Genomic DNA, 14,265 nt, shown 5'->3' with positions numbered 1-14,265 from the left:
TGAGATCGCACCACTGTACTCTGGCCTAAGTGACAGAGACTGTCTCAAAAAATTTTTTTTGGCCAGGCACAGTGGCTCACACCTGTAATCCCAGCACTTTGGGAGGCTGAGGCGGGCGTATTACCTGAGGTCAGGAGTTCGACACCAGCCTGGCCACCATGGTGAAATCCCGTCTCTACTAAAAATACAAAAAAATTAGCTGAATGTGTTGGTGCGCCACCTGTAGTTCCAGCTACTTGGGAGGCTGAGGCTGGAGAATCACTTGATCCCAGAAGGCAGAGGTTGCAGTGAGCCGAGATCATGCCACTGCACTCCAGCCTGGGTGACAGAGCATGACTCCATTAAAAAAAAAAAAAGTTTTTTTTAAATCAAGGAACAATGGTGGTGTGGTGGTGTCCAATATTCCACTAAATGGAAGCCCCATAAGTACAATAACTTGGTTTTGTCACTGCTGTAACCGCGCTGCCTAGCACAGTGCCTATCACAACATGAGCACTTACACTGGGTAAACAGAATCACCAAGAGGCTGGGTGTGGTAGCTCATGCCTGTAATCCTAGCACTTTGGGAGGCTGATGAGGTGGGTGGATGGCTTGAGTCCAGGAGTTGGAGACCAGCCTGGATGGCAAAACCCTATCTTCACAAAAAATACAAAAATTAGCTGGGTATGGTGGCGTGCATCTGTAGTCCCAGCTACTTGGGAGGCTGAGGTGGGAGAATCCCCAGGAAGTCGGGGCTGCAGTGATCTACTTGCCACTGTACTCCAGCCTGGATGACTGAGTGAGACTCTGTCTCAAAACAGTCATAGAAGAGAGAAAGAAAGAGTTTATTCTCTAATGGACAGGAAATTCCCAATTAGCAGTTAGGCTTTTAATTTTTTAAGTCTATAAGCAAGACAAACTTTTCTAGGCTGAAGGGCTGAAGGGGATAACGGGGTATGTCTACTGGTAAACAGCAAGAAATAAAAACAAAATCCAACAATTACACTTGAGTCAATATGAATTTTTATTAACACACATTTGTCAAAGTCTGTACAAACCAAAACATTCCTGTGTTTTAAAATGTCCATTATTACAAACATACAAAGAAACAAAAGGTGTTACCAAAAGTTAGCTACTCAATTTCATGGTAAAACAGTGTCATGATTTTTAAAAATCAAAATTTCAAGACTGAGGTTTCTTCTTTCCCTTTTTGGAACTTATGGAAAGTTAGAAAACGTGTGAATTTGCTTTATATTAAATGCCAAGACCTTAAAAAAAGATTTAGTATAAAACTAAGTATGTTTTTATATTGTCATACATCATGTAACAGAATTTCAGTCCTTAAAATTAAAAAAAAACACCATGACTGTCATTTCCCCCTAATTTTTCTCCCATAGTCAATGCAAATGCATCTGAAAAATATTATGACAGTTTATCTTTACCTAAAAGCTTCTCATTCAAAAACTTTACAAAACTATTTAGCACTGCCATTTCCCTTGCTTAGAAGGGAAAATTATATCCCCTAGTAGGGTGATATATAAGCGACATGGTCCACTGTATCCCTTATCAGAAGGAAACCACCATTTCCACATCTCTGTCCAATTATGTGTAGGACTCCATTTATGAGAATGCTATCACAAATTATAGAGCATCTGCTTCCAGGAAACGCCTAGAAGTTAAATTTAGTACTATAATTTTTTGGTAGACTGAGGTACAAATGTTATCTGCCCTCATTATTATTTCTAACTCTAGTACCCCCTGCATAAATGATTCTAGGGTAGTTGGTTTTGTTGTTTCATGGCACACATGACACACCCTAATTCCTTTCACAAACATCACATAGAGGACCTGAGAGTATGCCTAGAAATGTAAATCTATCCCCTTTCCTGGAAAAGTAAATCCATATTCCTACAGGGTTAAGAAGGGAAGATAGGCAGGGCATACATAACTCTGGTTGAGGCAAAGTGCTTCTGAGAAGCACCTGTTTTCAATACATATCCATGAAAAGCAGGGAGTGTATGGGCTCGGGTGGGTGAGGAGTGGGGAGAAGGTATAGTGATACCACTTTTCCCAGACTCAAGAGTCCTTACTAGAGCAGCTCATGCTGACCCCAAAAATGCTCTGTAGTTCAAATATTATTCCTTTTTTTTTTTTTTTTGAGACGGAGTCTCACTCCATTGCCCAGGCTGCAGTGCAGTGTTGCGATTTCAGCTCATTGCAACCTCTGCCTCCCGGGATTCGAGCAGTTCTCCTGCCTCAGCCTCCTGGGTAGCTGGGATTACAGGTGCATGCCACCAGGCCCGGCTAATTTTTGTATTTTTTTAGTACAGATGGGGTTTTACCATGTTGGCCAGGATGGTCTCAAACTCCTAACCTCAAATGATCCACCCGCCTTGGCCTCCCAAATTGCTGGTATTACAGGCGTGAGCCACCGCACCCGACCATATTATTCCATTTTTAATCTGTTCATTCATGTAAAAAAACATTCTCTGACAGCAGCCCAGTATGACAACTGATATAAGCAAATAAAGGATTTTATTTTTTAAAGAAGTGGCAGTGTGAGAATTTAAAATCAATCACATAAAACAATCAGGAAAGGGGTGGGGAGAGAAGTGTCCAGTACAACCTGGACAACCTTGCTTTCTGCCCTTACTTAAAAAGACAGACGGTTCAAATCTTTGCTACCTCCCTTAAGTATCTCCATAAATGCTCTTCCAAGAAATCCTCCAAAAGGCACTTAGCTCCATACTTATGCATTGAATTGTTTCACCTTAGCAATCAGTTTTTAAGACTCCAAGGTAACAAGAAAGAAAAGATCTGATTCTTTTACTAAAAGCTAGTGAATAGGACTGTTTTTTTTTCAAGAGGCATCACTTTTACAAGAACTAGCTAGACCACCATTATTCCTTTATCAAGAAAAAGTTTCTTTTTTAAAAAATAAATAAAACTCTGGCTATACATAGTACAAAGTTCATACATAATACATCTGGAAAAAAACCGAAGAGTATACCCTGAAGCAAAAGGTTTATTGGAGAGAGAAAGCCTCTTCCATTATACCAAGTCTGAAGATGGCAGTTTTCAAAGTTCAGAGGGTGGCAGTGATATATAATTAATGCCAAACTGTTTGCTCATGGGTATGGCAGGATGCAATGAAGGACCAAAAAAAAAAAAAAAAACAAAAAACAAATCATTCTGCACATTACACTGAGCAGTGACCACCACAAAAAAAAAAAAAAAAAAAAAAAGAAAAAAGAAAAAAAAAGAATAGAACCAAAATAGAGAGAAGAGGAAGAAGAAAAAGAAAAGTCCTAATAGTGAGAGAAAGAGAGCGAGCTTGAAATCCCAAACACTCAAGCATGCAGTCTAACACAGCACAAACCAGGTGTTTCCATTCAGCCCACTGCAATCGCACAAAGAAGGATAACTGTAATAAAATAGAGATTTCTTAAGAAAGCTTGCAATTCCCACAGAACAGCCAGGTCTCCAACCCTAACCCTGGACAACTCCATTTGCTGTTGCTAGGGAGCCTCCTTGAGGTCTGTCATGGAGAGGTTATAGCTCCTGACTTCTCTGACTTCTTGCTCTTGGACAAAGCAGCTGCCTGCTTCAGGAGCTCTCGGTTTTTGGCCTAAAGAAAAAAAAAATCAGTGCAAGAAGGATGTTTCAAACAGGATATAAGCTATTTTTCATGCAGAGTAAGTGCAGATGCTAAGGCAGACAATGTGGAGGGTCAGAAAGAGATGAACAATTCTAGAGGTGGAAAACAACAGGAAGCTCTAGGGCTTGAAACTTGGTTCAGGAGAAAAAAGTATTTGCCAGAGGTTAATCAGTGTACCTCAATCTCTTGGGACCCACTGTTACAAAGGGATGCTTTATGCAATACAAACTGTGAAGTGACTTCATGAGCTGGATAAACAGAATCTATAATTCAGACATCTGGAATCACATCTGGTTTATTCAAAAATCAAAGAACATACTTAATAATTCTACTGTTTTTGAGGGGAAAAGATCAGAACACATCCAAGAGTGAAACAATACAAAGTATCTACAGGCTGGGCATGGTGGCTCACGCCTGTAATCCTAGCACTTTGTGAGGTTGAGGTGGGAGGATTGCTTGAAGCCAGGAGTTCAAGACTAGCCCAGGCAATATAGCGAGAGCCCATCTCTACAAAAAAATTAAAAAATAAATTAGTGGGGTATGGTGGTATATGGCTGTGGTCTTCGCTACTTGGAAGGGTGAGGTGGGAGGATCACCTGAGCCTGGGAGGTTGAGGCTGCAGTAAGCCATGATCGTGCCACTGCCCTCCAGCCTAGGCGACAGAGAACCTGTCTCAAAAAAAAAACAAAAAAAAAAAACCTAAAAGGGGGATTAACATGATTTGTTAATACTTTGAGAAAAAAAAGAAATCTAAGAGATGATCACTTAAAATACAATCAGCTAGGTATACCAGGTAGGTACACAATTTTAGCACATAAAATAAGCAGAGTCAGTCACCTGCAGTTGTTCTGTGACTTCTTTGTGGGTTTTCTCCATCTGGTTCATTTTGGCTCTCATCTGCGATTCCTGGTACTGAAAATCAGCCTTCAACTCTGTAATCTGAGGGAAACAAGGCAGAATAACCAGAAGAAATTTCTGTGCAATAAAAAAAAATTGCTTTCAGAGAGCTAAATGGTCACCCAAATTAATGAAATCCAGGGCTCTCCTGCAGATCCGTATCTAAATCAAAACCAGGGAATTCCACACCCTCTTTTTCTCTAAAGCTTTCCTGAAAATTACACAAAGTCCTGAACTAACATTTCTGAATATTTGAGAATAATAGTTGCTACCAATTACTGAACTTTTACTATGTTGCAGAAAAACTGATTATATGATTATATTACTTCAGTAGATCTTTATGATAACATTGTGAGAGTAGTAGTCCCATTTTATAGAGGAGAAAACTGATCTTTAGAAAGGGTTAAGGAATGTGGCCAAGATCATATACAGAGTTAGCAAGGGGCAGAGCTAGATTTCAAACCCCAGACCCCCTTCTGTTGACTGCTCTTCAAGGAAATTCTAAATCAGAGGTGATGTGTGAGCTGAGCTTTGAGATGTATTAACAATAGGCACATAAGGTGAGCAGGAGGGCAACCAAGCAGAGAACAGTATAGGCACAGGCAGATAAATGTGAGATAACAGAGATTATTTGAATGGCTGATGAGGTTGGAGAGATGGGCAGGCATTATGCTAAAGAGCCTGTATTCCAAGCTTCCTGAAAGCTTTGGGAAACAATCTGCTTTTGCTCCTTTAAAAACCCTAACTCTGGGCCAGGAGTGGTGGCTCATGCCTGTAATCCCAGCACTTTGGGAGGCCAAAAGGGCGGAATACTTGAGCTCAGGAGTTTGAGACCAACATGGGCAACATGGTGAAACCCCATGTCTACAAAAAAAAAAAAAAAAAAAACGAAAATTAAAATAGCTGGGTGTGGTGGTGTGCGCCTGCAGTCCCAGCTATTTAGAGGACGGAGGTGGGAGGATCGCTTGAGCCAGGGAGGTTGAGTTTACAGTGAGCTGAGACTGCACCACTGCCCAACAGCCTGGGCAACAGAGCAAGACCCTGTCTCAAAAAAATAAAAATAATAAATAAATAAAAACTATCTCTGCAAAGCAGTAGAAACAAGTGTTCATCTTGTCCCTGTTTTACAAAAATCCTTTTATGTGCCATTCTGATCTAGTCCATGGAGAGAATATACTTGGGCCATTTTCACTTGACAGTCATGTAGTTATGTGGATAGAACACAGATCTCTTCCCATGAATTTCCACCTTCCTAGCAGGAGAAAGCATAGCACAGTAGAAAGAACAGTAGAGTCAGAAAGACTTCCAGTCCCTTGTTCCGCCATTTACTAGCTGTGTGGTTTGGACATATTAACCTCTTCGGGTCTGTTTCCTCATCTGTAAAATGAGGTAGAAATTAGATGAATGCAAGTAAGGAATTTACATCAATGTCTTAGCTATTCAGAATGAATCACAGCATTCTGAACTTGGCAGAAAACAACATAAAGAGCCAGGGGAGATCAGAAACCCCTAAGAAGAAAAATACTGGAGGCATTCTTCATCTATGAAATGATTGTAACAATTCCCACCTCAAAGGCTTTTTTTTTTTTTTGAGATGGAGTCTTGCTCTGTAGCCCAGGCTGGAGTGCAGTGGCACGATCTTGGCTCACAGCAAGCTCCGCCTCACCGGTTCACGCCATTCTCCTGCCTCAGCCTCCCGAGTAGCTGGGACTACAGGCGCCCACCACCACGCCCAGCTAATTTTTTTGTATTTTTAGTAGAGACAGGGTTTCACCGTGTTAGCCAGGATGGTCTTGATCTCCTGCCCTCGTGATCCACCCGCCTTGGCCTCCCAAAATGGTGGGATTACAGGCATGAGCCACCAAGCCCGGCCTCAAAGGCTTTTTATAAGAATAAATGGGCCAGGCATGGTAGCTCATGCCTGTAATCCCAGCACTTTGGGAGGCCGAGGTGGGCGGGTCACTTGAGGTCAGGAGTTCAAGACCAGCCCGGCCAACATGGTGAGACCCCCATCTCTATGAAAAATACAAAAATTAGCTGGCTGTGGTGCCACATGCCTGTAATCCGAGCTACTCGGGAGGCTGAGGCAGGAGAATCACTTGAACCCAGGGAGGCAGAGGTTGCAGTGAGCAGAGATTGCACCACTGCACTCCAGCTTGGGTGACAGAGCAAGACCCTGTCTCAATCAAAAACAAAAACAAAAATCAGCCAGGTGTGGTGGTGCACGCCTGTAGTCCCAGCTAGCTATTCAGGAGGCTGAGGCACAAGAATCACTTAAACCCAGGAGTCAGAGGTTGCAGTGAACTATTGCACCACTGCACTCCAGCCTGGGTGACAGAGCAAGACTCTGTCTCAAAAAAAAAAAAAAAAAAAAAAAAAGAATAAATGAGTTAATACATATAAAGCACTTAAAACAGAGCTAGGCACGAAGTTAGCATCCAATAAAAGTTAGCTATTATTATTATAATATTAAGGCAAAATGAGATATTCTTTTTTGTTTGTTTTTGGAGACAGGGTCTGGCTCTGTCACCCACAGGCTGGAGTGCAGTGGTATGATCACTGCTCACCACAGCCTTGACCTCCCAGGCTAAGGTGATCCTCCCACCTTAGCCTCCCAAGTAGCTGGGACCATAGGTGCACACCATCAAGCCCTGCTAATTTTTGTATTTTTTGCAGAGATGAGGTTTCACCAATGGCCCAGGCTGGTCTTGAATTCCTGGGCTCAAGCAATCTGCCTGCTTCAGCCTCCCAAAGTGTTGGGATTACAGGTGTGAGCCAGTGTGCCCAGCCTAAAAATGAGATACTATTTAGAAAACCTGAAAACAAGATAACAGACATGAATCAGAGTAAGAATGTAAAAATGGAAGACAACTTCAGACCATAATAAGACTGGTCTTATTCTGAAGATATTAATGTGAAGATATTAGAAATATAAGATAGAAGATATTCTGATGTGAAAATAAAATATTAACACTGAGGCCGGGCACAGTGGCTCACACCTGTAATCCCAACACTTTGGGAAGATGAGGCAGGCAGATCACTTCAGATGAGGAGTTCGAGACCAGCCTGTCCAACATGGCGAAACCCCATCTCTACTGAAAATAGAAAAATTAGCCAGGCATGGTGGCAGGCACCTGTAATCCCAGCTACTTGAGAGGTTGAGGTAGGAGAATCGCTTGAACTCAGGAGGCAGAGGTTGCAGTGAGCCTGGGCGACAGAGACTCTGTCTCAAAAAACAAAAAAAGAAAAAAAAGAGTATTAATACTGAAGATAAACTAAGATATTAAAATATTAACATATTAAAGATGGGTCACTTAGTAAGAGTTGTCAGCAGTGGAAGCACAGTGACATAAGAGTCATGGCAGAAGGCCCACATGAACGCTGTTCAGGGAAGAGGAAGAAATGTCCCATGAACTTTGAGTATTATTGTCCCACAGACATGGCCATCCCCATGAGAAGAGAAAGAGACATTAGGTTCTTTTAGCCGGACAGCACTGAACATTCCAGTTACATAACTACCTCCTCGTGTCCCAACTCTATGCTTATTCAGCACCTTCTGATTACAGCCTCTCCAGGTAGCTCATGCCAAGAACTGTGTACTGTTTGTTACATGCTCCGCTGTGAACTGAGATGTGAACACTGGTTTTTTTATACATTGTCTCTGTAAGCTCAGTTAACAAATGTCCTCTCTGAGGCCAGGGGCAATGGCTCACATTTGTAATCCTAGCACTTTGGGAGGCTAAAATGGAAGGATCACTTAAGACCAGGAGTTCAAGACCAGTCTGGGCAACATAATAAGACCATGTCTCTACAAAAAATTTTAAAAATTGGCCGGGTACAGTGGCACATGCCTGTAGTCCAAGCTACTAAGTGGGCTGAGATGGGAGGATTGCCTGAGACTGGAAGTTAGAGGCTGCAGTAGCCATGATTGTGCCACTGCACTCCAGCCAGGGTGACACAGCTGAGACCCTGTCTCAAAAACAAAACAAAAAACAAAATGTCCTCTTTGAGAAGTGGAAGCTGCAAGTGCTGAGAAAAATCAGTTTTTTGAGCCCAACTGACTGGAGTAATGCCATCCCAAAAGTCATCTTGGCAGACAGCCAGCCTCTCCCCAGGATATCCCAACCTTGACATAGGCTCTCAACAAACATCAGTTAAAAAGGGTTATTATCATGTCCCATACCACATATCTCACCCTCGCATCATTCTGGTCAGAGAGGAATTAACTAAACCATACCTTCTTCTCTTTCTCTAAAATCATTTGATCCTTTTGATGCAACATCTTCTTCAGGGTAGCCACTTCTTCCTTCAGTTGGGCAATGATGACAAAGTGGTCAGTGCCTGGTGAGTCCAGAGCCAGGTCTGGGGAGAAGCTAAATTTAAAAATCAGGGGAAAATATTTTAACTTGGATGGATAAACTTTTCTCTACCTGAGGATGCATCCTAGACCACTTGTCTGCAAGCTCCTAAAGGGCAGGAATCCTAGCATCAAGCACATTGCACCACACATGCTGGGCTCAACGGCACTTGCTGAGCTGAACTGCAGAGGTAAGGTGGCCATCAGATAACTCTACGAACCAAAGCCACAACCTGGCAGCATCCCTGCAGCATCTTCTCTCACATTTAGGACGGAAATAAATGCCACATCCCAAGAGCTAAGGATACTGTTTCAGGTTCCTTAAAGATCCCCAGTGATGTACTAGAAAAACCATCCTAATTTTTGTGATTAGATAAATTCCTTAGAATTCCAGATAAATTATAAACTGTGAGCTCATGCATTTTTCTTTAATGCTTCCCTCAGAGCTCATCTTTCAGGTCCTTGTCTTCTGTCCCAAAGCACCGCAATGCAGTCAGTGTATCTGCCGAGAAGCTGCTGGATTCCCACCCAGGAGCAGTCAGTTCTTTTTCAAAAAAGATGAAACAGGAATGAAGCCAGCTTCCCCTACACTACAAATGGCCTGCAGATTGTCATTTCCAATATCAGGAATTCTGTAACATTGCTTTAGTAACGGAACAAAGAGGTGGCAAACTCCAGAGTCACACAACAACTTGGGCTTTTAACAGATTCCTCCCAATAACAGCATTAGAGCACTCTATTTTGTCAAAGTGCCAGATGGACTCCATGTCCTTTTAGCAGAGCCTCTTAAGAAGGGGCAGTTTTAGGCCGGGCGCGGTGGCTCACGCCTATAATCCCAGCACTTTGGGAGGCCAAGGCAGGCGGATCACCTGAGGTCAGGAGTTCAAGACCAGCCTGACCAACATGGAGAAACCTCATCTCTACTAAAAATAAAAAATTAGCTGGCCGTGGTGGTGCATGCCTGTAATCCCAGCTACTTGGGAGGCTGAGACAGGACAATTGCTTGAACCTGGGAGGCGGAGGTTGCAGTGAGCCAAGATTGCGCCATTGCACTCCAGCCTGGGCAACAAGAGCGAAACTCCGTCTCAAAAAAAAAAAAAAAAAAAAAAAAGAAGGGATAGTTTCAGGAAATCTGCAAAACCCCAAAATTATATGTACAATCTTGTCTACACATATAATGGGTGGTTTTTAGAGTGAGGATCCATAGCTTTCAATGGCCAGTCAGAAGTGCCTCAGACTCAAAGCAAGTTAAGGAATCACTGCCAAGAGGGTCAAATCCTGTTCTCTAGAGAGTTCTCAAAGAACGCTCTTTACTTTTCCCAGGACAATCTTTAAAGTAAAACACAAACCTGTTTTTCCTAAGCAGACACTGGAATACTCATTCTCAACTCCCTATATATAGTAACGACTCACTGTTCTTATATCCTAAACCACATCTAATAGCCAACATTTCTCTACACAGGAAGAAACTCCAAATAGCAAGCCTAACCAGTGGACAAACTACCTCACAGTTACCAAGTCAAACATTTCTATGGCTAGGACTGGAAGACATAAATAATCGACAAGAATATTCCTACCCTCCTCTCAGTTTACATGAAGCATATGAGAAGACTGTCAGAGGAAGAATGAATCAATGCTCTCATAACTAATGAATGGATGGAATTACTGCATAACAAAAATAAATGCAAAATCATAAAACAAGGTGTGCAGGAGAAAGTACTGAAAGGACCTATTACAGTCTCCACTAGTTTCAGATCTGGAAGCACCCTTAGAGCTGCAGTCTCACATCTGTTTCAATACCTGCTAAGGACCTGTCTTTCTTCAACTGAATAGAGTCTATTTAAACCCATAACTAGAGTAATGAGCTAATGTAAGTAACTTTTTGTTGTCCCCAAACCTCTTAATGCCCTACCCTTCCTGCTTCTTGTGAGAGGATTCCCCCCATACCAATAAATAGTTGACAACACCCATCCTTTCTATCCTGTGTTAGGGACTGACCTCACTAACTCTCTCTTTTCTCTTTTTTTCTTTTTGAGACAGAGTTTCACTCTTGTTGCCTAGGCTGGAGTGCAATGGCATGATCTCGGCTCACCACAACCTCCAGCTCACCACAACCTCTGCCTCCTGGGTTCAAGTGATTCTCCCGCCTTAGCCTCTCAAGTAGCTGGGATTACAGGCGTGCGCCACCATGCCTGGCTAATTTTTGTGTTTTTAGTAGAGACGGGGTTTCTCCATGTTGGTCAGGCTGGTCTCGAACTCCCGACCTCAGGTGATCCACCCACCTTGGCCTCCCAAAGTGCTGGGATTACAGGCGTGAGCCACCGTGCCCAGCCCTCACTAACTCTCTAATTCCTGGTTCAGTAAGAACTACTAGAAATGAAAAAAGATGGCTAGGGTAACAAGGCAGAAAAACCAGTCTCTTTCCTAATGGCTCCAATGACAGGGAACTACTACTTCTCCAGAAAAATTGTCTTTTACAAAAGCTCGTACTGTAAGAACAATTTTCTTGGGTTGAGCCAAAACCTGCCTCTCTATAACCCTACATATTGGTCCTGAGTCAGTCCTCAAAGGCTATACAGATTAATCTTTCAGGCACATTTCAGACGGAGAATAAAATGAAACTACGAGTTAAAAAAAAGAATGTCCTTTAGAAACAATAAACCACAAGCTGTGCCTGAGTGCCACCAGCTGTTGTGGCTGCTTTTTTGATTGCCTATGGAAAAATAAACACACATGATTAAAAAGTAGCCAGTGTATTTTCTAGAGGAAGGAAAACTAGAAATTAACTTATATTTTCCTAAAATTGAAAAGTTTTTGTTATAATTTCAACAAACAAATTAGGACATATTGAGACAGAGACTGTGGATGTTGTAGGATACTTAGAAAAAAAAGACTAAAGCATCTTATAAAGCCATTTTTGAAAGCTAAAATGTGTTCTGTCTAAAAAAAATAGAAGGCTAATGGATAAACAAAAAGGAGGAAAAATAATCAAACATAACTCAATATTAAATAAGAGAAGAGAATGTAGTAGTATAGAAAGGTCAGTGAAAAACCATTAGGCAGCAACTTGCAGAAAACATGGGGAATAAAAATAAAAGAATAAGAGCATAAATTTAAAAGTATATGAATATTTTAGGGGCTGGGTCTGGTGGCTCATGCCTATAATCCCAGCATGTTGGGAGGCCAAAGCAGGAGGATCACTTGAGGCCAGGAGTTCGAGACCCCATCTACACAAAAAAATTAGCCGAGTGTGGAGGCATGTGCCTGTAGTCCCAGCTACTTGGGAGGCTGGGGTGGGAGGATCGTTTGAGTCCAGGAGGTCGAGGCTGCAGTGAGCCATAATTGCGCCACTGCACTCCAGCCTGGGTGACACAGTGAGACCTTGTCTCAAAAGAAAAAAAACAAAAAAAGCCAGGCATAGTGGCTCATTCCTGTAATCCCAGCACTTTGGGAGGCCAACATAGGAGGATCACTTGAACCCAGGAGTTCAGGACTGGCCTGAGTAACATAGTGAAACCCTATTTCTACAAATACAAAAATTAGGCAGGCATGGTGGTGCATGTCTATAGTCCCAGCTACTTGGGAGGCTTAGGTGGAAGGATCACCTGAGCCCAGGAGGTCGAGGCTGCAGTGAGCCAAGATCGTGACACTGCATTCCAGCCTGGGCAACAGGGTGAGACCCTGTCTCAAAAAAAAGAAAAAAAAAAAAAAAGAAATGGGTAGCCAGTGAAATTTTGGTTTGGATGACATTAAAAAAGGACTGTCAAAAAAAATGTCAGAATGCTTTTTTCAAAGCAAAGTAAATGCAGGGAAAAAAAACCCACAACAAGTAAAGAGGACAGCAAAGTGGAATTTATCTTGTGCTATGAACATTTAAAAAAAAGAAATGCAAACAAGTAGAATAGAATGTTAAAAATGCTAATGCAGGAACATTTTAAATGGGTATGAAAATAGTTTTTGTGACAGCAGAAAACATTTCCAAATTTTCAAATTATAAATTACTTAGAAAAATAAATTAGCATGTCATTTTAAGGAAAAAGTTATCTCCCCTACCTTTTTTTTTGAGACAGAGTCTCACTGCCTAGGCTCAACTGCAGTGGCGCAATCATGGCTCACTGCAGCCTCAACTTCCCCAGGCTCAGGTGATCCTCCCACCACAGCCTCCTGAGTAGCTGGAATTACAGGCACACGCCACCATGCCCAGCTAATCTTTAGAGATGGTGTTTCATCATATTGCCCAGGCTGGTCTCAAACTCCTGGGTGATTCACCAGCCTTGGCCTCCCAAAGTGCTGGGATTACATGTGTGAACGACTGTGCCTGGTCAAAATGATCATTTAATATCTTTTCTGGAGGACACCATGAAAGACCATGTACCTATGTCAAGGATCAGCTTTCTACTTGAGGAAAACAGCATTGCTGATGACTGGATGCAATAAAACACTGAACAGAAAACTTGAGTTTTTAGCTTGGTGTATCCATAGCAATGGACAGCAAGAATAGTGGCAGTATCTCAAGAACAAAATAAGCTAATAGAAAGTGAACATTAAGGACTGGTTGGTTAAACTGGAAGATACGAACGAGCTTTTTCCAGGTCATTCAAACACAGCCTGGATCATAAATGAGCACAAAACAGAAATGAATCTAAAGCCATAGGTCTTGGCTTAGGCCTTTATAAAGCAGGGTGTTCAAAAAGTTCATTCCTTGAAGTAGTTTTTGCAGGGTCACATGCCCTGGCAGAGGTGATGGACAACCTGTGCCACATCCCTTTCTTCACAATGGCCAGACTAGCTTATGAGAGAACAGTAAAGCTGGCCAGAAAGATGATCTTTATGGTTCCTCCCCCCATGTAATCTGACTACCTAAATTAAGCATTCCAGAAGGTTCAATTCAAGAAGTTTAAAAATCAGTGAAACTAGTTCTAAAAACCTTGTAGAGTCTGAAAGCAAGTTAACAAAAAAGGCAATGGGAAAGAATGTTTTGTATCCCTCTAAATAAACAAAATCAGTCCTGGTAAGCCTATATGCTGGTCTGCTCCTATATCCACTACTGGCTGGGAAGGAGAACTGTGAATGGGAGGAGTTTTCAGGATGGAGATGATTTCAAAGATCGCAGGAAGTGTGTCAGGTGGTTTCACTTCAGGATGCCCAGGCCTGGAGGAACAGAAAAATGGTTGGTCCCAACACTTTGTTGAGAAGCAGCCCACTGTACCAACACAGATGGGACACTCTGGATATTAGGACCCAAGCAGCTCACAAGAGGAAGTACCACTGAGGAGGGGAGAGGAAAGTGAGGACTAAAAGTATGCATTTAGACTGGCTTGAAATGAAACAAAAACATGCAAATGCATCTCATTCTCTCCTGATCCAGAATCTG

General features: G+C 42.2%; 1 protein-coding gene across 6 annotated transcripts in view; it reads right to left on the bottom strand.

Moving 5' to 3' along the window:
• Positions 1–985: 985 nt before the first annotated feature.
• FAM76A (family with sequence similarity 76 member A) overlaps positions 986–14,265 on the bottom strand; it is a 37,156-nt gene continuing 23,876 nt past the window's right edge. For 5 of the 6 annotated variants that reach the window (NM_001143912.2, NM_001143913.2, NM_152660.3 and 2 more), the window contains 3 exons: positions 8,772–8,907; positions 4,475–4,576; positions 986–3,607 (listed from right to left, as the gene is read on the bottom strand). In NM_001143912.2, coding sequence (NP_001137384.1) covers positions 3,521–3,607; positions 4,475–4,576; positions 8,772–8,907 — 325 coding nt within the window. In that variant the 3' untranslated portion in view covers positions 986–3,520. Of the gene's footprint in view, positions 3,608–4,474; positions 4,577–8,771; positions 8,908–12,555; positions 14,043–14,265 lie in introns of those variants that run through there. The other variant, XM_017000543.3, reaches the window with a different exon arrangement.

Source organism: Homo sapiens, chromosome 1 (assembly GCF_000001405.40).
Source record: "Homo sapiens chromosome 1, GRCh38.p14 Primary Assembly".
NCBI lineage: Eukaryota > Metazoa > Chordata > Mammalia > Primates > Hominidae > Homo > Homo sapiens.
Note: the sequence above shows the minus strand (reverse complement) of the source record. Positions and strands in the feature narration are given on the sequence as shown.